The sequence below is a fragment of the Homo sapiens genome, chromosome 22, assembly GCF_000001405.40.
Source record: "Homo sapiens chromosome 22, GRCh38.p14 Primary Assembly".
Lineage (NCBI taxonomy): Eukaryota > Metazoa > Chordata > Mammalia > Primates > Hominidae > Homo > Homo sapiens.
In genome coordinates this window covers 40,415,949-40,440,113 of record NC_000022.11, presented here as the reverse complement: position 1 = coordinate 40,440,113, position 24,165 = coordinate 40,415,949, and the positions used below count along the sequence as shown (strand labels likewise).

The 24,165-nt window shown below is 52.0% G+C and overlaps 1 protein-coding gene across 5 annotated transcripts in view, besides 5 other annotated features; it reads left to right on the top strand.

Moving 5' to 3' along the window:
- Positions 1–24,165, top strand: part of MRTFA (myocardin related transcription factor A) — a 226,431-nt gene that overhangs the window by 196,606 nt on the left and 5,660 nt on the right. For 3 of the 5 annotated variants that reach the window (NM_020831.6, NM_001318139.2, NM_001282660.2), the window contains 10 exons: positions 4,560–4,615; positions 8,634–8,709; positions 10,347–10,508; positions 15,733–15,908; positions 16,429–16,578; positions 19,014–19,267; positions 19,538–19,709; positions 20,730–21,740; positions 22,621–22,773; positions 23,068–23,128. In NM_020831.6, the coding sequence (NP_065882.2) occupies positions 4,560–4,615; positions 8,634–8,709; positions 10,347–10,508; positions 15,733–15,908; positions 16,429–16,578; positions 19,014–19,267; positions 19,538–19,709; positions 20,730–21,740; positions 22,621–22,773; positions 23,068–23,128 (2,271 nt within the window). Of the gene's footprint in view, positions 1–4,559; positions 4,616–8,633; positions 8,710–10,346; positions 10,509–15,732; positions 15,909–16,428; positions 16,579–19,013; positions 19,268–19,537; positions 19,710–20,729; positions 21,741–22,620; positions 22,774–23,067; positions 23,139–24,165 lie in introns of all 5 variants that reach the window. The other 2 variants (NM_001282662.3, NM_001282661.3) reach the window with 2 other exon arrangements.
- Positions 3,084–3,133: an enhancer, noted in NCBI's record as "active region_19092". NCBI's record gives its function as "activates an Ori minimal core promoter by ATAC-STARR-seq in GM12878 lymphoblastoid cells {active_cell/tissue: GM12878}" and the evidence as "EXISTENCE:reporter gene assay evidence [ECO:0000049][PMID:35858748]".
- Positions 3,204–3,253: an enhancer, noted in NCBI's record as "active region_19091". NCBI's record gives its function as "activates an Ori minimal core promoter by ATAC-STARR-seq in GM12878 lymphoblastoid cells {active_cell/tissue: GM12878}" and the evidence as "EXISTENCE:reporter gene assay evidence [ECO:0000049][PMID:35858748]".
- Positions 3,374–3,503: an enhancer, noted in NCBI's record as "active region_19090". NCBI's record gives its function as "activates an Ori minimal core promoter by ATAC-STARR-seq in GM12878 lymphoblastoid cells {active_cell/tissue: GM12878}" and the evidence as "EXISTENCE:reporter gene assay evidence [ECO:0000049][PMID:35858748]".
- Positions 3,764–3,823: an enhancer, noted in NCBI's record as "active region_19089". NCBI's record gives its function as "activates an Ori minimal core promoter by ATAC-STARR-seq in GM12878 lymphoblastoid cells {active_cell/tissue: GM12878}" and the evidence as "EXISTENCE:reporter gene assay evidence [ECO:0000049][PMID:35858748]".
- Positions 23,224–23,723: an enhancer, noted in NCBI's record as "H3K4me1 hESC enhancer chr22:40812395-40812894 (GRCh37/hg19 assembly coordinates)". NCBI's record gives its function as "activates a minimal SCP1, AML or CMV promoter by ChIP-STARR-seq in naive H9 embryonic stem cells {active_cell/tissue: H9 hESC(naive)}" and the evidence as "EXISTENCE:reporter gene assay evidence [ECO:0000049][PMID:30033119]".

The window sequence follows — 24,165 nt, the reverse complement described above, 5'->3', positions numbered from 1 at the left end:
GTGGTGCAATCTTGGTTCACTGCAACCTCCGCCTCCCAGTTTCAAGCGATTGTTGTGCCTCAGCCTCCCGAGTAGTTGGCATTACAGGTGCCCGCCACCACACCCAGCTAATTTTCGTATTTTTAGTAGAGACGGGCTTTCGTCATGTTGGCCAGGTTGGTCCTGAACTCCTGACCTCAGGTGATCTGCCTGCCTGAGCCTCCCAGAGTGCTGGGATTACAGGCATGATCCACTGCACCTGGCCCTATCTTGAATTCTTTTCTTGGTCTTCGTTTCTGGTTCTTCTGACCAGCTATTGTGTCTCAGCTTCTCCAACTTGTCTTCTAGTATCAGTGCCAAAGGCTGTTACGTGGTGAGCTCCAGGTTTTGAACGATGATTCTCAATGCTTGAGAGCCCTGGGGCCCCTCAGACAGGTCTCTGAACCCCTCTTCTGAGCCTTCTTTGCCTTGGTCTTTACCTAGTGCTGTGGCCAAGTTGACTCTTGTATGTTGCCTGGACTCAGATATGCATCTAAACAGTGTGTGTCATTGAACATTGAAGCTACCTTGTCCCCCTACCCAACAGTTTCTTTTCTTCTGTCTCTTTTTTTTTTTTTTTTTTTTTTTTTTGAGACAGAGTCTTGCTCTGTCACCCAGGTTGGAGTGCCATGGAGCAATTTTGGCTCACTGCAACTTCTGCCTCTTGGGTTCAAGTAATTCTCCTGCCTCAGCCTCCCAAGTAGCTGGGATTACAGGTGCCTGCCACCATGCCTGACTAATTTTTCTGTAATTTTAGTAGAGACATGGTTTTGCCATTTTGGCCAGGCTGGTCTTGAACTCCTGACCTCAGGTGATAGACCTGCCTCAGCCTCCCAAAGTGCTAGGATTACAGGCTTGAGCCACCATGCCCAGCCTCTCTTCTCTAACTTTTGAAGAAGTTAAGAAATCAACACAGAGGAGTGGAAAGAACTCTAGGTTGAGGGTGTTACAGAATTAGGTTATATCTTCCAATTCAGGACACTTAAAAAAATTAGGTTATAATCTTATCCCTGCTATTTGCTTGCCTTTCCTTTTTGGCCCTGTCCTTATCTATAAAATGGGATATTACCTACCATGTAGAATGATTAGGAATATTAAATTAGCTAACAGGTTTAAAATATCTAGAACAGTGCTTTCCATACAAGCATCCAACAGATATTAATCCCTTTCTTGCCATTACATGAAAATGTCCTTAATAGGACCAAATAGGAATTCATATAGAGTAATCCTTCCTTATTCCTGAGGAACACGTGCCAAGACCCCCTAGTGGATATCTGAAACTGCAGATGGTACCAAATCCTATACGTACTGTGTTTTTTTTTTCTATACATGTGACCTATGACAAAATTCGATGTGTAAATCTGACATAGTAAGAAATTAGAGCAATTTTAACAATACACTGTAATAAAAGTTATGTGAATATGGGCCCACTCAAAATACTGTAACATTTTTGGACCTTGGTTGGCCTAGAATAACTGAAACCATGGAAAGCGAAACTGCAGATGAGGGGGACTATGTATGCTGTAGCCATTTCACCTATCACCTGTCCTCCACTAGTGGTGCACCACCCTTTGTACATGAAGATGATGTCCTCAAGATGTTCTGGTGAATTGTTCTTCTAGAAGTTGGGTTTGTGCCTTTGGGTTTGTGCCTTACCCTTTGGGGATAGCCAGTGTGGGTTGTTGAGGCAGCAAGTCAGCCAGGGTTTTAGACAGAGAATCTCTGGCTGTGGTACAGAAACTAGCTGGCCTGTAAGTGAATCAAGCCAGTGATTCAACCAAATTACAGCATTTGGTGACAGCAACACCTGAATATATCGACACATATACCATTTGGTTCAGGGCACTCTCACTGGTGTTTCTTCCTTACAAGGGTTCTGAGAGGTGGGCAGATTCTCACTCTGGAAGAAAATTAGACCCAGAAAGCAGTCAAAACCCATGTCACCCAGCAGTAATTGGTAGCACTCAGTACTAGAACACAGATCCCTTGACTGTCTATCCAGAACTTCTGTGAGGTTTCGAACCCGGTTGAGAACCAGAATTCTGGCTGTTTAGATGAAAGTTTAGAGCTCTGCCGCAGAATCCTCCTGTCCTCCTGTCACTAGTCACCTTGTGTCCGTTTCTTACAGAATACTCACTAATTCATCGAGTGAATAATTATTGAGGGTATACTGTGTGCCTGGTATTCTAGGCACTTGGGGAATGCTGTGAGTGACTAAAAAAATAGACAAAACCCTTGCTGTGCTCTGATGGGGACATGTTGTAAATGTAAACGTGGGAGACTGAGAGTAAACAAGAAAAGTATGTAGTATTCCGCCTTTTTTTTTTTTTTTTGAGACGGAGTCTTGCTCTGTCTCCCAGGCTGGAGTGCAGTGGCACTATCTTGGCGCACTGCAACCTCTGCCTCCTGAGTTCAAGTGATTCTCCTGCCTCAGTCTCCTGAGTAGCTGGGATTACAGGCACCCTCTACCATGCCTGTACAAAAATGTTTGTATTTTTAGTAGAGACGGGGTTTCACCATGTTGGCCAGGCTCGTCTCGAACTCCTTACCTCATGATCTGCCCACCTCGGCTTCCCAAAGTGCTGGGATTGCAGGCGTGAGCCACCATGCCCAGCCAGATACGTAGTATTTATATAAAGACTGTCAAGACAGTGATGAGTGCTGCGGAGAAAAATGAGGCAGAAAAGGAAGCTGGGGTGGGGTGGACAGTGTCCGTTTTCTCTTGATTCTTTGTACTTACTGTCTCATGCATGTGCTAAGCTTTCCAAGAGCCAAGGTTACGTGTGATGCATCACACCCGGGTTCCTGCAGAGCAGGACGTTTGGAGTTGAGCTAGCGTTACACAGTAGAAGCAGGTGCAGGGGGTGTCTATTTACCCACTGAAATGCCCACGACCTGCCCATGTAAGAAGTGGGGAATCCTGGATAGTGCCCAGGTAGGTTGGGGAGGTAACTTGTACTGGTTTTTCTTTGATGTTATTTGTTAAATCTAGAGCTCCCCCTTCTGTTAGAAGATGGGATCTCAGTAGTACTTTTAAGACTGTAGTTTCTTTTTTATCTTAAGATTCACAAAAAATTTTTAAAAATAAATACCACTGGGACAATTGAAGCTTTCTTCTGGGACTGCTGTTGCTGAGGCCCAGCCCCCCGCTGGGGGTGGAGAGGAAGGAGGAAGAAGCACAACGGCCCAGGCAGGATAGGGTCCTATCTATGCTCTCTTGCTACTTTTAGCAGCTCCTTAACCCTGCACTCCTACCGCAGCCAGCAGCCTAGCAAAAGTTATCTCTGCTCGCAGTTTCACAGCTCTTTGGAAATTCTAGGGCAGGAGAAGTGAAACTGACCACAGTCTTATAAATTTCTCTCTTATTGCCTCTGTTCCCTACTTGAAGTGAGTCAGGCCTTTCCCTCTCATCCTCAGAGTGTCTTAAGTTGCTATTTGTCCTTACAGCCAAGTTTTTGACAAAAGGAGTCAGACCTTCCATTCATGGTGCAGCCTTTCTGGAGGCTCTTGGTTTGGTCTTGCCACCTGAGTGTTGTTTGCAGAAGTCGAGACTTGTGGTCTTTGTGTGGTATCCCCAGAATAGAGCTGAGCCCTTCGTCTCAGCTGTCGGTTGTGTGTGTTCCTTCACATACAATTGCCATGGGGTTCTTTTAGTCCTTAGAGATGAAATTCAAGTTAATTTTAGCAGCACTATAAATAACAGGTGCAGTGAAGAAGGAAATAGTGCCGAGTGGACATATATCTTTTTGGTTTTAACTGTCCCATTGAAACAGTTTGGCCACTTTATGATTCCTCGTGAGGTTGAGGAAGTAAGGTTAATTTGGCATGCATCTGTGCCCCTTCCTGTGTGCAGGTGTCCTGAGAATAATGTGAGGCCTAGCAGGCGTTCTTGGAGTCCTAGCTGAAGGGGGATTTGCGGCTGACGGTCCAGTCATGGGCCAGGGTGTTTGTTAAAGTTACATTCCATGGGTGCACTTTATATAGCCCAAGCTTAGGCAGTGACAGTTCCCATTAGGAGTCATATTTTGGTTTCTACCAAAACTGTTTGAATGGGGTAGCTAAACCATAAAGATACATGCTTACTCAGGTGTCATTGCCTTCACTTCAACTGATATTTATAGTACTACTAACAGTAATGTGATTTTTTTTTTTTTTTTTTGGGGGACGGTTTCTCGCTCTGTTGCCCAGGCTAGAGTGCAGTGGCGCAATCTCGGCTTACTGCAAGCTCTGCCTCCCAGGTTCACGCCATTCTCCTGCCTCAGCCTCCCTTGTAGCTGGGACTTCAGGCGCCCACCACCACCACGCCTGGCTAATTTTTTGTATTTTTAGTAGAGACAGGGTTTCACCATGTTAGCCAGGATGGTCTCGATCTCCTGACCTCGTGATCTGCCTGCCTCAGCCTCCCAAAGTGTTGGGATTACAGGCGTGAGCCACCACGCCCAGCCAGTAACATGAATTTAAGATGCCTTCTCCACTGAATATCGTAGCACTAGACATGATGCTTCGCTTGAAGGTAATCTTTACGGTTCTTCTCTCAACAGCTTTGAAAAGTCCAGCCGCATTTCATGAGCAGAGAAGGAGCTTGGAGCGGGCCAGGGTAAGGTACCTTTTTTCCCCCTCAGAACTCCCAAAGAGCATTTTCAGAGCTCATTGCATTGCTGGTTATATTTCCATTTAGAGCTTTCCATAGAACTCTGAGGCCAGAGCCTGCTAGACTCTAGGGCCAGCCCTGGCCTTGTGGTTTTAAATGGAAAGCTCTGCTTCTCCTACTTCATCCCTTCTCTCATTTACCTCCCATGGTGATTATATGGAACATGATTGGAATGAGGTTTCTCTTTTTGTACATTTAAGGATATGGAATGATCACCCGATCCTCCTTGCCTGAATTTTGGAGTGCTTTGGAGACCACTGGTATTTCCCCATCTTTAATTCCACTTAACGTTTTGTAGATGTTGGGACACAAACATTAGCCAATGGAAAAGCTTCCCAAGTCCGGGGTTACACTGGCCACACCTCACAGGACGGGCATTCCAAGGGGCAGGAAACCTTCTTGGTCTCCATCTGCCCAGAGTAGGTGGTATCCACTTGACTCTTGTGGAAAGCAGAAACTGGCCCACACTCCAAGCCCAAGTTTTCTGCCACAGCACCTTACTTGCGTCCCCATCCCAACTCTGTTTCGGTTCCCCAGGGGCCCCTGAGGAATATTCTGCTGCCCAGTGTGGGTAGAGATGGGGAAGTCACCAGAACTTGCTTCCCCCTCACACTCCCTTTACTTTTTCCTTTCACATAAAATCATGGGAAGATAATCCCCCTAGACAGATCATGGGCTGCATCTCCTTAAGACCCACGGCTATTTTATTTTACTTTATTTTTTGAGACGGAGTCTCACTCTGTCACCCAGGCTGGAGTGCAGTGGCGTGATCTCAGTTCACCGCAGCCTCCGCCTACCAGATTCAAGCGATTCTCCTGCCTCAGCCTCCCAAGTAACTGGACCTACAGGCTCCCGCCACCACGCCTGGGTAATTTTTGTATTTTTAGTAGAGATGGGGTTTCACCATGTTGGCCAGCCTGGTCTCAAACTCTTGGCCTCAAGTGATCTGCCTGCCTTGCCCTTCCAAAGTCCTGGGATTACAGGCATGAGCCACCACACCCAGCCTCACAGCTATTTTAGAGTCTCAGAAATATTTACCTCCAAGACTTTTTTTTTTTTTTTTTAAACTTTCTTTCATTCCCCTCTCCCCAGAAAATCATGATTAATTCTTAGAGTAAGTGGAAAGAATGAGGTCATGGGTCCTGGGAACCAAAGGAGTAACAAGCAGCAGTGGTTTAGTTTGCTGAGAGCACTGGAGAGTACAGTGTTGGGGGAAAGGATGGCGTTGCCTGTGCGCCTATTCGGTCAGAAGACTGGGCACCATTTACTTGACTGCTTCTCAAATAGGCAGGGACCAGCAGAGCTGATTAGAAGAGACTGTTTTATTGAGCACCTTTATGTAAGAGGTTGTATCTGTTTCTTTTTTATCCTCACATCAACTCTTATGAATTAGGTGGTATTATCCTCATTTTATAGATGCAGCTAAGAGAAGTTAACTCACTTGTCCAGCCAATAAGTGGCAAAGCTGGGAGTCAAACCTTTGTGGATTCTAGATTTTTTTTGAGCAAAATGATTTTATTTCCTAACACATGGTAACCATAACGTTCAATTTGCTTACCATGCACATCTATTCACAAATGACTTCCACATTACAATAACTACTTCCATATTTACACATGTACTAAAAATTATCTTAGTTGAGATATGAAACATGAATATATTGGATTGGTTATAGCAGAATTTGCTTTACTTAATTCTAAAAGCTTAAAGCTTTGAAAAGCTGCTACTTTTGCATCTCATACTTCCAGATGAATAAGACACAGCAATATCAGCTCGTATTCAAGAGAAGTTTCATTTCTTTTTCTGGTGTTGGAACCAGCTGCTCACATCTGTGCGTGCTACATAAGGCAGCTATACATGGTGGTGGGAAAGCATCCACAATGGCTTCAGCTATGTCAGGATCACACTTGAGGGGCTCTGAGATGCTGTTGTATTTACACAACTGATTGCTTTGTTTTCCTTTTTTTGTAATTTTAGAGGTGGGATTTTGCTATGTTGCCCAGGCTGAATCCCAACTCTTGGGCTTAAGCAATCCTTCTGCCTTTGACCTCCTGAATAGCTGGGATGTGTAGGCATCTACCACTGTACCTTGTCAAACTGATTTTGTTCCCTCAGTTTTCTTCGACACAAATGTGCTTCAGTGGTCATGAATGCCTTTAATGATATCAGTTGCAAAATCCGTATCTTTAAATTTGGCCCTGAAAGTTCTCTGGTTTTCCATCAGAGACCTTATACCCTCTAAACCAGTCCAGAGTAGCCTCTAGGTAGTCAGGTTTCAGCCATTTGACATCATTAATATGTTTACTATTTGTCACAAAGGATACAACTCAGGAACAGCCAGGTGGAAGAGATGTGTAGGTATGTGGGAAGGGATGAGGAGCTTTTGTGCTCTCTCCAGGTGGGTGTGTCACCCTCCTAGCACCTCCATGCCTTTAACAAACCAGAAGCTCCTCCATATATTTTCTTAATCAGTACTATATTCTACCTCAGTCATGGCCACTGGTCAGAGCTTCAGATGGCTTAGAGAATAAGTCTTCCACTGTCATCTGTGAAGACTTGCGGCACCTGCTCTACCAATCTCTGCTGCAGCTGAGGCAGTACTTCTGCCCACTGCACGTGGGGTGATAGAGCCAGAGCCCACAGTCACTTTAAACCATCTCCTGGATTGCTCAGCCTCCCCTGGGCTGGCACAGAGCTGCCCAGCCAGAACAACAAGGCAGCAGATGGCTAGGTGAGGACAAGTCTTTTTTTTTTTTTCTTTTTCTTCATTTTTTTCCAGTCTTTACCTTTACTATATATAATGTCCTCTGAGGCTTCATTGCCTAGTGTCCTTTGGCTTGTCTTATCCTATGCTGGTCTTGATCCACTAATGTTCTGTGGTTTGAAAATGTTGGTGCAGAGGTTAAGAGCACAGACTCTATAGAGTCAGGTCCAGGGGAATATATATATATTATAATTAGCCCCGTTTGGTGGGATGGCTCTGTGACTGTTGAGGGACTGGTTTAGTTTGCCCAGAGTCTCATAAATGCAGAAATTAGGACATTGGACTTTGAGGAACTAGAGCTTTGCTACCATGTGTCAAAATTCATATTCCATTTGGCAGCCATTCAAAATGAATGGAAAATGCCCATGAGATCATGCAGTGTTACAGGTTTTTGGGGTTTTTTTTTGGTTTTTGGTTTTTTTTGTTTGTTTTTTGAGACGGAGTTTCGCTCTTGTTGCCCAGGCTGGAGTGCAGTGGCGCAGTCTTGGCTCACTGCAGCCTCCACCTCACGAGTTCAAGTGATTCTCCTGCTTCAGCCTCCCAAGTAGCTGGGATTACAGGCGCCAGCCACCACATCTGGCTAATTTTTGTATTTTTAGTAGAGACAGGGTTTCACCACATTGGCCAGGCTGGTCTCAAACTCCTGACCTCAGGTGATCCACCCACCTTGGCCTCCCAAAGTGCTGGGATTACAGGCTTGAGCCACCGTGCCTGGCCCAATGTTACATTTCTTAAAGCAGGATATAAAATCATATTCAGTGTGATTACAGCGCTGCAAAGTTAAGCCTATTTTCTGCATGGAAGAATAACTAGAAACAGATATCCCAGAATACTAAGAGTGGCTGATTAAAGTTTATTTTATTTTATTTTTCTTTCTAGTTTTCTAAATGTTTTTTGCTGGACATATATTACTTTTATGGTAGTAGAAGTAATAGTTTTTTAATAGATATATTGTCAGTCCAGCCTCAGAGACACAGATGGTCTTGAAGGATGGTGCCCTTCCTTGGCAGGTGCAGTTGGATTTTGGTGTGCTCTCCCCAGGCCTACTCTTGCCTCCGAACCCTGCAGTCACCAAGTTAAGGTTGTGGGAACTGCAGAGGTGGTCAGCAGCTACCATGGCCAAGGCTGCTGTTGTGATCCTGTCCATGCCATAAGCCTGTGACCTGGATTTGAGAGTTTCTTGGTGTGTTTTTTCTGTAGACAGAGGACTATCTCAAACGGAAGATTCGTTCCCGGCCGGAGAGATCGGAGCTGGTCAGGATGCACATTTTGGAAGGTGTGGAGATTGGAATTGCTTTTCCATCTAGATCCAGTTCTCACTGTGTGTACTCACTACTGCACTACCCATTTCCTTCCTGCCTCTTTCTTCTCCCATTTCTGTTGGCAGTGGGTAAGCCAGAGCCTTAACACCGTACGACAGCTGTGCCATGGTAGCTGCCACTGGTCTGAGGGACTCTCAAAAAGCACAGTCACATGCTGTTAGTTTGGCTTGGCCTCTTCTCCAGGGTCTCACCATCCCTTGGTGTGAGATCGCTTCTCTCTGCCAAAATCTGTTTTGTTTTGTTTAAGACACAGTCTGACTCTGTCATTGTGATTGTAGGCACAAGCCACCATGCCTGATCTAAAATCTGTTTTTAAAATACACTTACTTAGTTTTTTATATTCATTCATTCGGTCAGTCATTCACTTGGCATTCACTTGAGTGTCTGTGATATACCGTGCTCCATCCAATATTATTCTAGATGTACCCACCTGGCCCCAGCTGCACATGTCTTTCCCTTTTTTTTTTCTTCCCCCGCTTTTTTTTTTTTTTTTTTTTTGTGATGGAGTCTTGCTCTGCTGCTCAGGCTGGAGTGCAGTAGTGTGATCATGGCTCACTGCAACCTCTTATCTTCCAGGTTCAAGCGATTCTCCTGCCTCAGCCTCTTGAATAGCTGGGATTACAGACGAGCGCCACCACACCCAGCTAATATTTTATATTTTTAGTAGAGATGGGGTTTCACCATGTTGGCCAGGCTGGTCTCGAACTCCTGACCTCAGGTGATCCACCCACCTCGGCCTCCCAAAGTGCTGTGGTTACAGATGTGAGCCACTGCGCATAGCTGTCTTTCCACATTTTTAGTGAAGAAAAGGTTTTGGCTCCTGGAAGCAGCATAAATATATTTACTTATTGTTTGTCTAGTCTTTTTTTTTTGAGATGGAGTCTTGCTGTGTCACCAGGCTAGTGTGCAGTGGCACAGTCTCGGCTCACTGCAGCCTCCACCTCCTGGGCTCAAGCAATTCTCCTGTCTCAGCCTTCCGAGTCGCTGGGACTACAGGCACATGCCACCACGCCTGGCTAATTTTTGTATTTTTAGTACAGACAGAGTTTCACCATATTGATCAGGCTGGTCTCGAACTCCTGACCTCAGGTGATCCACATGCCTTGGCCTCCCAAAGTGCTGGGATTACAAGCGTGAGCCACCACGCCCAGCCGTTTGTCTAGTTTTGAGCTGTTTTTGGGGCTGGAAGAGAACTTTTCTAGTCTGAGTCTCACATTTTGCAGACAAAGGCACTAAAAACCAGAGCAGAGATGTGAATTGCCTCAGTAACACAGCAAGTTTGAGGGAGAGTGGAGACCATTCTGTCATCTGTTGCTGCTTCCATTCTGTAGCTCCACCTCAGAAAGTCTTCTGGGTTTGCCTCTGCCTGGTTATAATTGTGTGTGACTGTGCACTGCCTGGTCACAGTGGGAACCCCTTCTCTTGTCTTTGTGAAACTTCAAGACAGGCCACTCTTCTCTGCTTGGAATATGCTTACCGTTCTGACAGTCACTCCTCTTGCCCAGGAGGAAGGAGAGCTGCTCTGGAGTTCCCGGGGCAGAACCACGTCCACTCATATATCTTCCTGCACCCCTTTCTCTCCCATGGGCAGAGACCTCGGCTGAGCCATCCCTCCAGGCCAAGCAGCTGAAGCTGAAGAGAGCCAGACTAGCCGATGACCTCAATGAGAAGATTGCACAGAGGCCTGGCCCCATGGAGCTGGTGGAGAAGAACATCCTTCCTGTTGAGTCCAGCCTGAAGGAAGCCATCATTGGTGAGGAGGACCCAGCCACCCTGTGTGAGAGGCAGCTGAGATGCAGGAGGGGAGGGAGTGCCAGGCTGAAGCAGAATTGGGCTGAGGCTCTTGACTTCTTAATCTTTGACTTCCTGCTTAGCCTTGGGAGAACCAAGGCACAGAGTTTGAGAGCCTCATGCACAGGTTGTATGAACTTGGGATAGTGCCTGTTGCTTTAAGAAACAGGGACATACAACAATAAATAATAACAGAGGCCTTGCTCTGTTCACTTTCCATCTTTGTAAACTCGGGTTGCTTCCTCTTTCACAGAGTAGATAGATGTCAGGATCAGTGTGTGTGAACATGTGGAGATGCCAGGAATTAGAAATCTGTGTCATACTCTTTATTAGTGAAGTCTCTTCTTGGAGACTGGCCCTTTCCACGGATATTTCACTTAACAAATACTGATGGACCCAAACAGTGTGCTAGGTGCTAAGGCCACAGCCCCACAGGGCAGACCAAGTTCCTTTGTCCTTATGGAGCTCACGCCTAGGAGCAGGTAACAGGCAGGTGAATAGGCAGGATAGAGAAGCTGTGCTGGAGGGAGCACAGGGTACTTTGGAAACACAGAGGAGGGTCACCCAACCTGGTTGCATCAGGAAGGGTGCAGCTGTCAGAGGAGGTGACAGCCAAGCCTGGGGCTGAAGGATGAGTAGGAATTCATGAAAGCGTGTGGGAGAGGGTGGGACGAGGGAGGAGAGGACGGTGCTCCAGGCAGGGAGAACAACCCTAGGACCTGATGAGAAGGCACTGGAAGGGAGGGTGTCAAGATGAGAGGTGGGAGGCCAGGTCCTCAGTGATTTGGTAGTCTGAGGCGGGAGGATCACTTGAGCCCAGGAGTTTGAGACCAGCCTGGGCAACATGCAACATAGGGAGACTCATCTCTACAAAAAAAATCAAAAAATTAGCTGGGTGTGGTAACACACACCTGTAATCCCAGCTGCTCAGGAGGCTGAGGTGGGAAGATCGCTTGCGTCCAAGAGTTCAAGGCCGTAGTGAGCTATGATTGTGCCACTGCACTCTAGCCTGGGTGATAGAGTGAGACCCTGTCTCAAAAACAAAAACGAGGTGGGAGCAGTAAGCACAGTTCAGGACGTGCAGGGCCTCTTGGCACACTTGGGAGTTTGGACTTGATTCCTTTAGTGTAAAAGGGAAAAAGCCGTTTTTCTCTGTATTTACACTCAATACAGAATACTTCTGGTGTTGGTATTCTGGCATGGTATTACCCCACATACCAAGCAGTTCTCCAGTGGACACCAGCTGGGTGTCCTCCATTTCTTTTCAGATGCCATTTACCTGCAGATAGCGTCTGATCCCACAGGTTGAGGACTCAGTCCCACAAGACTTAGCCCCACTTCCCATGCTGGTCCCAAGCCCCAGGTTATTTTACATTTGCTTTTAACCAACTAGCTATAGATTGGGGTTCCCATACCCTCTCCTTGGGCTTGATAATTTGCTAGGATGGCTCACAGAACCTGGGGAAACACTTCACTTAACATTTCCTGGCTTATTGTAAAGGATGCAGAGGAACAGTCAGAGGGAGGGACGGATGGCACAGTGTCGTGGGGTGCCAGGGGGAATGGTGGTATTGGAACTTCCCTGCCCTCTCCTGGCCTTCACCCTCCCAGTAGCTAGAGAAACTCATCAAATCCTGTTATCCAAGAGTTTTTATAGAGCTTGATCTCAGAGCCCCCACTCTATGTCCTACATACCCACCCCCACTTTCCTGGAGGTTGGTGGATGGCGCTGATATTTCCAGTCCTCTAATCCTCTAATCACTTGGTGTCTCTGGTGACTGGCCCAATCCTTAGTCTCTCCCAGATTATCACATTAGCATAAGCTCAGGTGTTGTGGAAAGGGGCTTGTTATACATAACTGAAGATACTTCTGACCTTAAGGAAATTCCAAGGGTTTTAGCTGCTCTGTGATGAGAACTGGGGGACAAAAACCAAATATATTTATTATCCTACTCTTAGATTTTGGTGATAATTGGTACAGACATGTCTCCTTCGCTGCAGTGGGCCCAAGATCCGATCCCTGACAAGACAGCACCTGCCTGCCCCTCCTGAGGCAGCTGTGCCTTCAGAGAAAGAGGCTCAGGGTTTCCTCTAACATGAGTTTTAGTTTTGGGCAGAGGGGAAACACTGCAGCAGACCCCCAACGCATGCTGAATTAGGCTTTGGGCCCTGATTAGAGGTGACTGGCAGTTTCTAGGGCCTCCTCTGCATTGTAGCCACCCTACTGGAGGCTGGCCCACACTGGGCCCGGAGGAGCCCTTTCCCCATGTTGATACAGTAGCTCTTATAATTCACAGATTTTCCCTGGCGTTCATCCTGCCTCATCTCAGTGGTTTCCTCCGTGTATTCCTCAGCAGCCCCTAGTTATAGGCCAGTGTAGGGGCCAAGCCAGTTCTGGATGCTGCAGCCAGCCACAGTCTGATAAATGTGTGCTGAGACTCAGCAGTGTGCCAGGCCATGTGAAGTCCTGATGTCACAAAGATGAATAAAATATGACTTGTGCGCTAAAAGAATTCACGTAGGTCTGATGTGAGAAGACTAATGTATAAACAACTGATTTCTGAGTCTGGTTCCCAGTCAGATGCCAGTGCTGCCTGGTAGGAAGGCCATGGCCCTGTGACATTGTCTCTGAGTCACCTGCCTTGTGCGACTGCTTGCAGGATCACACACGATGATGGATGGTCCTTGGCGCCTAGAGAGACTCACACAATGGTTGCTGCTGTTGTCAGCAATAACACTCATTCTAGACCAGCTGGCAGCTGCTGTAATGGACAGTGTAACAATGGATATGTGTGTGTCAGTGCTGTGGGAGCTCAGCAGAGGGACTTCTCTCAGGGATGGGAACAGGTGTTGGTGGCCAGGGAAGTACCCACACTATAGCACGTCTGGGGGCAGCTTGGAGGCTGGGTCAGAGTTTGCCAAGTGGAAAAGGTACAGAGGTACAAGAGGGAACAGCATGGGCAGTGGCTTGGAGGCCTGGCTGAACACAGCTTGTTTGTTTGAGGAATTTGGCAATGGGGTGATTGTTGGGGACTTTAAGGAGCACAGAGCATTTGCCAGCAAAAACCAGATTGTACAGTTGAGTAGGAGAGAAGGAGGTGGTGATGGCAAATGTAGCTCATTTGCTCAATAGTTCTGTGGAGAAGGAAAGCAGAGGCAGGTGCTGGCTTAAGGAGGGATTTTCAGGCTGGATGCAATGGAGCAGGTTTTTGGGCTGAGAGGAAAGAGTCAAGGAGATGAGAGGATGGGCACCTTCAGAGGAAGAGGAGGGAGGAGGACGAGGAAATGGAACCCTGGCTGAGGTGGAGGTTTGGCTCAGGAGAGGCAAAGCTGGGAAGGAAGTTTGGCTCAGATGAGTGGGAAGGAAGCGGGCAGTGGGAGAAGGGGGAGCGGACCGTTCTGAGGCCTGAGAAAAGGGCTGATGGGGGTTGGGGTCTTCCCCACACATCTAAGCTCCCCATCCCACCCTTCCTCCAGGCCCCTCAGTTATCGTCAAGGTTCACTTTAAGTCCTGTCCTCCAGGAAGACTTCTCTGAGTCTCTCCTCAGTGTGCCCTTAGCTTCTGTGTTTTCTCTCTAGCAGAGCATTCACTGGGCTCCAAGGCAACTGGACCATAAACTCCTGGAGGGCAGGGACCCCATCTTTGTTCCCAGGATGTGACTGTGAGTGGAGAGAGAAATAGTCTGTAGTGACCCTGGCCTGTACCAGCCCTGGGTTTTCCACAGTACGGCCAGCAGCTTCCTTGGGTTGGACTAATCTGGGGGAAGCTACAGTTCCTCCACCCTTGCTCACCGTTGTCAGTACTGGCTGCCATGGGGCTGCTGTCCCAAATCAGATGCCGTTGCCGGAAGTAGGAGATTGTGGGGGAAATCTAGCCGTGTGTCTGGCATGAAGTACACATGGTCAGCAAGCCCTGTTCTGTGTGTTGCATACTTGCCCCTGCTGGGACAGATGAGGGGACAGAGGAGCAAGCCACCACCACAGTCGCCAGTAAGGAAGAAGCTCAGATGCATCCTTCCCAGGTCCTGAGGGAGGAGAGAGCCTCAGGTCCTGGCCCTGGCCCTGGAGGGCAAGAGCTCCTAGGAGAGCCACTGCAAGGACAAACCCAGCCTGAGCTGTTGCGCTTTGTTCCTCTTCCTTATCTGGGGTCTTCCCACACAGCATACTTCCCCAGGCTTGGGCGGCAGCTCACCCCTGCCTTCACCACTGCCTCAGTTCCTTCTGTATGGATGGCAGATCAGCTCAGAACCTGCCACCCCCACCTCTTCCCACGACAGTGTTGAGCCGGTGGCTCTGACAGTGACTCTTGAAATAGCCTCCTTGCCTCTGTTCCCATCTTTCCTTCCCACTGGGACCCCATGGAACAGAAGCTCTGTGCTACGCCCTCCTCCCCTGCCTCTGCTTCCAGTTGGCCTCAGAAGGACTTGCATTCACAGTCATCCAGAGCTTGGCAGTGGGTCAGGCCAGGGCAGTGACAGCCAGTAGGATGTTTTCTTCTGGTGCCCCACCTGCCCAGGTGTTGGGTCTCTGTGAGCCACTGGCCTCTAGAGGAGGTCACCACACCACCTCCATTTCACCTGTGCAGGCAAACATCCCCTTTCTGGGATACCCTCCATCTGAAGCCCAGAGCCAGGCTCCTTAGTCTGTTCCTGGCCTCTGGGGAATTCAGCTACACTCACAGGGCTGTTACCCAGGCTCTTCTGGTCCCTCGTTAGCTGGTTCAGAGCCCTCACTGCACCATCTGTAAGCATCATGGGGGAATAAGAGAGTTTTGTGCAGTGTGGGATGAAGATACAGAGTACCTTTAACAATAGGGAGACGGTTGAGGTAGAAAGGTAGCCCGGGTCTCCCAGGGAGGAGCAAGGGAGGGAGGGACAACTTGACATTGAAGACTAAACACAGTATAGAGTTACAAGCAAGAGGCTAAAGGAGGCGTTTGCTCGGCCCATGAGGTCACTCTGATAGCCTAGGAGGCCTTTCTGGCCTCTCTTGCAGGGTCATTATGATGACCAGAGCTTTTTTGGACCAAGAAAGCAGATTGGCTGCTAGTCTCCTCGGCTTGCCTGCCTCACGGGGCATGTGGGCTGTGGGCCAGGCACTCTGCCTGTGGCCTGCGAGCCAGGCCTGTCCCTGCTCATCTGTTCCCTGGGCTGGAAGTGGAATCTCACACCAGCTTTGGGTTTCAGTGGGCCAGGTGAACTATCCCAAAGTAGCAGACAGCTCTTCCTTCGATGAGGACAGCAGCGATGCCTTATCCCCCGAGCAGCCTGCCAGCCATGAGTCCCAGGGTTCTGTGCCGTCACCCCTGGAGGCCCGAGTCAGCGAACCACTGCTCAGTGCCACCTCTGCATCCCCCACCCAGGTGAGTGTGTGCTTCCAGATGCTTCCCCAGCTCCAAGGTGCTAGGGCTGCGCAGAGTAAGGTCTCTCTCCTGGGCCACGGGATGCCTCCTGCTCTGGCACAGGGAAGCCAGGGGGATGCTACCCTAGTTGCTTAGGTGCTGGCTGCTTGAGCTCCCCGGTGGTGGGAGATGTGGGCAGTGGCCCCTCTCCAGCAGCCAGAGGTCAGGTGGAGGACGACGCTGGCCATGGCTGCCTTGCAGTGGGATTGCAAACGTCACTGGCCCAGTCTGTATTCATTTATTTGGAGCAGCCTGTTTTTCTTGAGTATATTCAGTTCTGTGACCTTTTCATTGCCTTCTCTCTTTCCTAGCTCCTCCTTGCTCCTGCCACCCTGGGGGTTGCTCTTCTCCTCCTCCGGTCTCTGCCCACCATTTGCCCTCTGACAATGGTGGCGTCTGAGGACCCTGTGTAGGGTCAGGGCAGGCTGGGCACACCCTACCTGGAGGTGGCCATGTCCTCACTTCCCTTTTTCCCTCTCAGGTTGTGTCTCAACTTCCGATGGGCCGGGATTCCAGAGAAATGCTTTTCCTGGCAGAGCAGCCTCCTCTGCCTCCCCCACCTCTGCTGCCTCCCAGCCTCACCAATGGAACCACTATCCCCACTGCCAAGTCCACCCCCACACTCATTAAGGTACATTTCTGCCAGTGATTGTACCCTCCCCTTCCCTGTGCCCTTTGGAGTCCTGCTGTGACTTCATTCCAGCTGTGGGGACAGCTGTAGAGGGTGTGGTGCGTGTCTTCTCCCATTGGTCTGGGAGTTTCTTCCCGTTCTGTCTGCTGTCCATCATGACACTGGCTGTTGCAATCATAGCCACCAATTATTCGTGGCTATGGGCTGGCCTTGGGCATTCCAGGTCCTCACTCCTGCTCTCATCCATGAAGTCATTCCCACACATTATGTCTTGTTCACTCAACAACTCCGCAAGGCAGAAATAGAGCCCTGTGCTACAAGAGAGGAGCTGAGAAGTGAAGTGACGCGGCCAGAGTCATGCAGGAGGTGCCACTGAGTGGTGTTCCCCTCCTTCAAGGCCTGGCCTGAAATGCCTGCAGGAGGCGGGGGTTACCACTGTCGGTGTGGGGGACCTGTGCTGGGCATTGCTGGCCTCATGGACTGAGGTGTCTGCTGTTAAATTCAGCTGCACCAAGAGCTCATGCAGAGTCCTCCCTGCTCCACAGAGCTGCCTGGCCACCAGGATCTCACCAGGATCTCGGGGACCCCAGCCCCACACCTCTGCCTGGCCCACGCCTCCCTGACTTGCTCCACCTGCACCCTTTGTGCTCTGTCCTTTCTTATTCCCCAGGCTCTCTCCTCACACAGACCCTGTGCCTGGCTTGGCAACCCCTGGCCATCTGAGCCTCAGGAGAGGCTGACAGTCTGCAGCCTGGGCTGTCTGGTGCTTGTGCTCTGGCCTTAGTAGGCCCCACTAGCTCTGGGAGCTGCCCGCCCTTCTTGTGGCACTCCCTGGCTCTGTCCCATGGTGACATCCCCAGTCCCGCCTCTGCACATGACCCTGTCATCTCTGCTGCCTCTTGCTTCCTCCATGTCAGAAAGTCACTGTGGCTTCCTGAATGTCAGTCTCCTCTTTCAGGCCTTGGGAGCAGTGAGTGGCCTCTCCTCCCAGCCTACCCCTGCTTTCAGCACTGCCTGCCCGGGTGCTGCCTCATCAGTTAGTGCCTGTCCTGCACCTGCATTCTCTTCTCACTGTCAGCAGGTGTCCCTGCTTTTCCCCCAGAGTTCCTCCAATGTGCTTCTCCTCACACTCCTGTTGCCTTCCTTTGCCTACCACGTTTGGAAGAAGAGTCTGTGTATTTTGTCTACACATCTCTTCAGTCACCTCACCAGTGTACTGAAACATTATCTTCAGGGGCCTCAATCCAAGTCCCATCCCCACCACTGTGCTCCTGGCCCAGCTGTTGGGGTTCCCTCTCCTTGGTTGTGCTTTCCCTGCCTCCCTTCCTCCTCCCTTTAATTGGGGGTGCTCCTTAGGCTCTGCCCTCTGCCTCCTCTCTGCCTCTGCCTCTGCCTCTGCCTCTGCCTGTACTTCTTCCTGCTCCCCAGCCTGTGCTCACAGGCTCTCTGTGGCTCTGTTCCCTTCTTCTGGGGCAATCCTGGCCCCACAGCCCCGGCAGCCCTGCCCTTTCTCCATCCTTCCCATGCTCCCAGCAAAACCAGAACCTCTTCTGTGATCACTTCTCACCTGCCACATGTTCACTTTGTCTGTTCTTCCACTAGTGGGTCACCTGCCCAAACCTTCCTTTCAGTCCTCATTGCCACAAGGTCTAGACACCACCTGTTCCTACATCCAGCCTTGTACGCTTTTGTCTGCCATTCTCTGCTCAAAACTTCTCGGCTCTCCGTGGTCTCTCTCTGGCACTCCCTTGCTAACTCACCTCGTCCAACTGCGCCCTTCCTTGCTCCAAGAACAGACCTCCCATATATCACCTACTGGCCCTTATTGGTCAGTTTGGGTCTTCTGACTCTCCTGGCCCAGTGGCTGTGCCAGCTGGAGGTCTTTGGGGGCATGAATAGGAGCTTTTGGAGTCCTGTGTTAGAACAAGAACAAGATCACATTGTGACTTTGGGCAAGTGACTTCTTTGAGCCCGTTCACCATTTTCAAGTAGACACGACAGTTCCTACCTGGCAGAATTCCCCCCAGCCCCAAAAAGAGCAAGAGAAGAGCAAGCAGCATTCTGGAGAGGCTTGTGTGGCCCCGTCTTTGGAAGGTGCCTGGTCTGGCGCAGCCCGAGCTCCATCAGTCAGCTGGGTTTTACCTCCTTGTGTTCACCCTGCTTGGGGTCATGGTGATGTCTTTGCTTGAGCTAGAAGCTTTTAAGTCGGGGGTCAGGCATAGCCCTCTTTGTCACTCCAGCCCCTTTCCTGGCACATTTCTGGGCACATTTCTGCTTTTCACGGGGTGTACGGTCCCACAGGGAAGAGTGGAAATGGGCAAAGTGTGGATGGGGATGTCTTCTCAGAAGCCACACAGGTGTGGGGAGAGTTGCCAGCCCCACCCCGAGAAGCCTGAGGCTGCCCCTGAATGGCACCCTGTCTCCTGTGCCCTCAGCAAAGCCAACCCAAGTCTGCCAGTGAGAAGTCACAGCGCAGCAAGAAGGCCAAGGAGCTGAAGCCAAAGGTGAAGAAGCTCAAGTACCACCAGTACATCCCCCCGGACCAGAAGCAGGACAGGGGGGCACCCCCCATGGACTCATCCTACGCCAAGATCCTGCAGCAGCAGCAGCTCTTCCTCCAGCTGCAGATCCTCAACCAGCAGCAGCAGCAGCACCACAACTACCAGGCCATCCTGCCTGCCCCGCCAAAGTAGGCACCCGCTCCTCACTGCCTGCCCCTGCCCTCCCCGAGCCACCCTGAGCCAGGCAGGTGCCAGGTCTGGTGGGGGTGAACCTCACATCTTTAAGGACCCGCTGGTCTGGATGCTACAGAGTGGTCTGCAGGCAGGGCCACCCTAGCCTTTGCTGGGCCCTTGCCCCATGCCCATCTGTACCCAATCCTGCTGCCCAGGCTTGGGCTGCCACCTGCAGAGGCCACGGGCGAAGCTGGATGGGGCTAATTTCTGCCTTTTCTTCCCAGGTCAGCAGGCGAGGCCCTGGGAAGCAGCGGGACCCCCCCAGTACGCAGCCTCTCCACTACCAATAGCAGCTCCAGCTCGGGCGCCCCTGGGCCCTGTGGGCTGGCACGTCAGAACAGCACCTCACTGACTGGCAAGCCGGGAGCCCTGCCGGCCAACCTGGACGACATGAAGGTACATGGCCACTGGAAAACTTGAGCCACTGCCAGCCTGGCCCTTCCCACAGGGGCTGTCTGGGTGCTGGTTTTTAGGCAGGGAAGGCAGCCAGCCTAGGACCCACCGTCATGGAAAGCAGAGCAGGGCTTTAGGCTCTGGTCCCCATCAGACAGGGCACCTTGGACACAGCTCTGAGGCTGCCTGGAGGTGGTCATGGTGAATGACACCAGCTTCCTCGTGGTGGTTCCTGTTGTTGGCAGCACAGCCAGCATCTGTCCAGGCAGTCGCATGTCTCTTATCTTCCTCGACTTACGTGTTGCATGCAGTGTGAGAAGTGGGGATTGGTGCCCCTTTGAGGATGGTCAGGCTGAGGCAGTGACAGGAGGAGGAGCTTGTCCACAGTCGCAGACCTGGTCAGTGTAGACAGGACTGTCCAGTAGCAACCCTGCCCGCATTTTCCCCTTTGCCGGTTAATGCAGAGCTCACTCTGCCGTTCAGGTGCAGTGTCTGCCTGGGAAGAGAGCGGCCTGTGATCAGGGCCACAGACTTGGCTTCCATCCTAGGGCCTTGGAGAGGAGTGGGTCATGCCCAGTGCCTTGCGTGTTTTCTCTGCCCCATCAGAAGATGGATTGGACCAAGCTCTCCCTTGAGAACTTGTTCTCTGAACCAGGCTGGGCCCTACTTTCATGAGCTCAGTTTTCTCTTTGCAAAATACAGTCTGTTCCATTGAATATTTATTGAGCCCATGCACCATGCTGGGGGCTGGGGGCTGGGGACAGCTGTGGGCACCATGTACCAGCCCCCGTTGCCTGCATAGGTGGGGAGCATTTTAACCAGACCCCTGCTAGAGTGAGAACAATGAAAGAGAGGATGCTGTTGGCTCAGGTGGTGGGGGGCATTGCACCCTCCAGGCTGCTGGAGGATTAGGGTAGTTGATGCATCTGCAGTGGCCCATGGGGCCCAGACTGCCCTTCTGCCTGGACCCAGTGCCCTGTGTCCAGCTGCCCCTGGCCTCCCTGACTCTTGACTGCCTTGCAGGTGGCAGAGCTGAAGCAGGAGCTGAAGTTGCGATCACTGCCTGTCTCGGGCACCAAAACTGAGCTGATTGAGCGCCTTCGAGCCTATCAAGACCAAATCAGCCCTGTGCCAGGAGCCCCCAAGGCCCCTGCCGCCACCTCTATCCTGCACAAGGCTGGCGAGGTGGTGGTAGCCTTCCCAGCGGCCCGGCTGAGCACGGGGCCAGCCCTGGTGGCAGCAGGCCTGGCTCCAGCTGAGGTGGTGGTGGCCACGGTGGCCAGCAGTGGGGTGGTGAAGTTTGGCAGCACGGGCTCCACGCCCCCCGTGTCTCCCACCCCCTCGGAGCGCTCACTGCTCAGCACGGGCGATGAAAACTCCACCCCCGGGGACACCTTTGGTGAGATGGTGACATCACCTCTGACGCAGCTGACCCTGCAGGCCTCGCCACTGCAGATCCTCGTGAAGGAGGAGGGCCCCCGGGCCGGGTCCTGTTGCCTGAGCCCTGGGGGGCGGGCGGAGCTAGAGGGGCGCGACAAGGACCAGATGCTGCAGGAGAAAGACAAGCAGATCGAGGCGCTGACGCGCATGCTCCGGCAGAAGCAGCAGCTGGTGGAGCGGCTCAAGCTGCAGCTGGAGCAGGAGAAGCGAGCCCAGCAGCCCGCCCCCGCCCCCGCCCCCCTCGGCACCCCCGTGAAGCAGGAGAACAGCTTCTCCAGCTGCCAGCTGAGCCAGCAGCCCCTGGGCCCCGCTCACCCATTCAACCCCAGCCTGGCGGCCCCAGCCACCAACCACATAGACCCTTGTGCTGTGGCCCCGGGGCCCCCGTCCGTGGTGGTGAAGCAGGAAGCCTTGCAGCCTGAGCCCGAGCCGGTCCCCGCCCCCCAGTTGCTTCTGGGGCCTCAGGGCCCCAGCCTCATCAAGGGGGTTGCACCTCCCACCCTCATCACCGACTCCACAGGGACCCACCTTGTCCTCACCGTGACCAATAAGAATGCAGACAGCCCTGGCCTGTCCAGTGGGAGCCCCCAGCAGGTACCTGGGTATGGGAGGAACCGGGCAGGGCCCAGAGGAGGGTGGGAAGAGCGTCTCGCTACAGCCCTCTTGGGCCAGGGGACCCCTCGTGCTGGACATTTTGTGTTTGCTTCATTTAATCTTCCTTCACCAGGGGGGTACTGAGACTTAGGAAAGTTAAGGGACCTGCCTCAGACCCCCTAGCTGTAGGGCGGAGCCATTGGTGAGCTCCCCACCTCTCTGGCTGTTGAGACTAGAACATTTCGGCACCTCAGCAGCAGGACTCCTGAGCAGCCCGTACCCAGGCTGGGCCTGCCCTAGTGCTGCTCTGTGGGGAGTGGCCAGTGAAGGTCAGAGGTAGCCTGCCCCGGGGAGAGGCTGTGGGGTCCTCTGGCCAGGATCCAGCTCAGGGTCCTCTCCTCAGAGAGGCTAGCTGTCCCCACCAAGGTGTCAGCAGCGGAAAGCTCCCTCAGCAGACCCTCTCTCAGCCCAGGCCACAGGTGAGGCTGCCCTAAGGCTTTATGTAGCCTCGTGGTCCTGCAGAACTTGGGGGTAGAGAAGACAGTGACAGGAACAGGTACCTCAGGATAGGAGACAGGGGTCCCTGAGCAGCCCCAAGCAGAGAAAGAAGCTGCAGAAATCTCAGGGGGTGACCAGCCCAGCCCAGAGACCTCTCCCAAACCTCAAGGGGCCAGGCACCCCCTGCAGGGTTGAGGGCCCCCCATCCTGTATTCCTTCCTACCTAGTGGCTTTCATGAAAGCTCCCTAAAAGCCAGTGCCTCCCATCTTCCCTCCTAGAGTGTGAGAGGCCCTGGCCCTATCCCCGCCCCCCGCCCCCTACAAGGCAGGTCTGCACCCCCAGCCCCCTGGCCACTGGTCCTCTCCCTGCTCTCCTGTCCAGCCCTCGTCCCAGCCTGGCTCTCCAGCGCCTGCCCCCTCTGCCCAGATGGACCTGGAGCACCCACTGCAGCCCCTCTTTGGGACCCCCACTTCTCTGCTGAAGAAGGAACCACCTGGCTATGAGGAAGCCATGAGCCAGCAGCCCAAACAGCAGGTGAGGAAGGCGGGCTAGGCCTGGCTAGTGTTGGCAGCTGCCCTAGGCTGCTGGGCTGAGGCTCCTACAGCCCCACCCGGAGGAATAGGGGGCAGGCGAAGCCCAGCTTCAGGGTCAGAGAGGCCTTGGGGAGTGGGTTGTTAGGGGACGGGCTCCAGGAGTCCGGGCACGCCCATGGGTCCTGTGGATCTGGCTGCTTATTCTGGGGCAGAGGGAGGGGCCTCATTCGTAGTTCGGGCTGGGAGCCCCCATTCAAGATTTTTATCTCTTTTTTTTTTTTCCTTTGTCCCACAGGAAAATGGTTCCTCAAGCCAGCAGATGGACGACCTGTTTGACATTCTCATTCAGAGCGGAGGTAACCCCAGGTCCCCTGCTGCCTCCCTGACGGCCTTCTCTGTTCATAGGTGTCTCTAGCCCTGGGTTGGTTTGTTTTTATTGAATGCTTCCGTGCGTGACCAGTCTTGGGCAAGCACTGTGGATGCAGTGGTGGCTGTGAGCCCTCCCGTCTCCAAGGCCTGGGCGAGAGGACCAGGGAAGGTGCCGTCCTTCAGCTGGAAGCACTGCCCCAAGGCCCTCGCCTCCCAACGAACAGAAGAGACATTTGCCCTTGTGGAGCTCACAGTGCAGCCTGGGGAGGTGGACAACAAATATAAGAAATAAGCAGATCATATGGAAGATCCGAGAGGAGCCTTAGGACAAAAATGGAGGAGAGGGAGAGGTCTGGGGAGCCTGGTGGGGAAGGTCCAGGATGTCTCCTGTGAGCAGGGGCAGCTGTGTGCATCTGTGCGGCCTCGGGAGTACCTGGCGGGTTGGAGTGGAGTTGAGGAAAGGGGAAGAAGGCCTTCATGGCCAGATCATGCGTGGCCTCCTGGGCACCAGGGCAGGGTGGCTTTGGCTCCATTGTGTGGGAAGCCATCGCACAGCCTTGAGCAGAAAAGGCCTGGTCTGATGCAGGACCCAGGCGATAGTAGCCGTGCAAGGGCAGAAGCAGGGAGCCCCAGGTTGGGGGGCGACTGGAGAGCTGGGCTTTGGCCCAGCAGGCAGCAGTGGCGGGCAGAGGAGCGGCTGGAATCAGCCCCATTTGGAGAGAGCCAGGTTGGTGTCTTTATGGATGAAGTGGGGGGAGAGGGAAGGAACAGCCAAGGATGACTTCAAGGGCTGTGGCCTAAAGGGCCAGGGTGGAGTGGCCATTGATGGGGTGAGCTGGGGAGGGGGCACGTGTGGGACCACATTGCGCGGTCCCTGATGGGGTGTGTCACGAGACCGAATGGAGGGTTCACAGGGACAGTTGACATCAAGTGGCATTTGTGAGAGAGGTCTGGGCTGGAGGTAGGAGTTGGAGTGTTGTCACATCTAGATTGGCAGTTGGAGCTGGGAGGCTGCCGAGGGTGT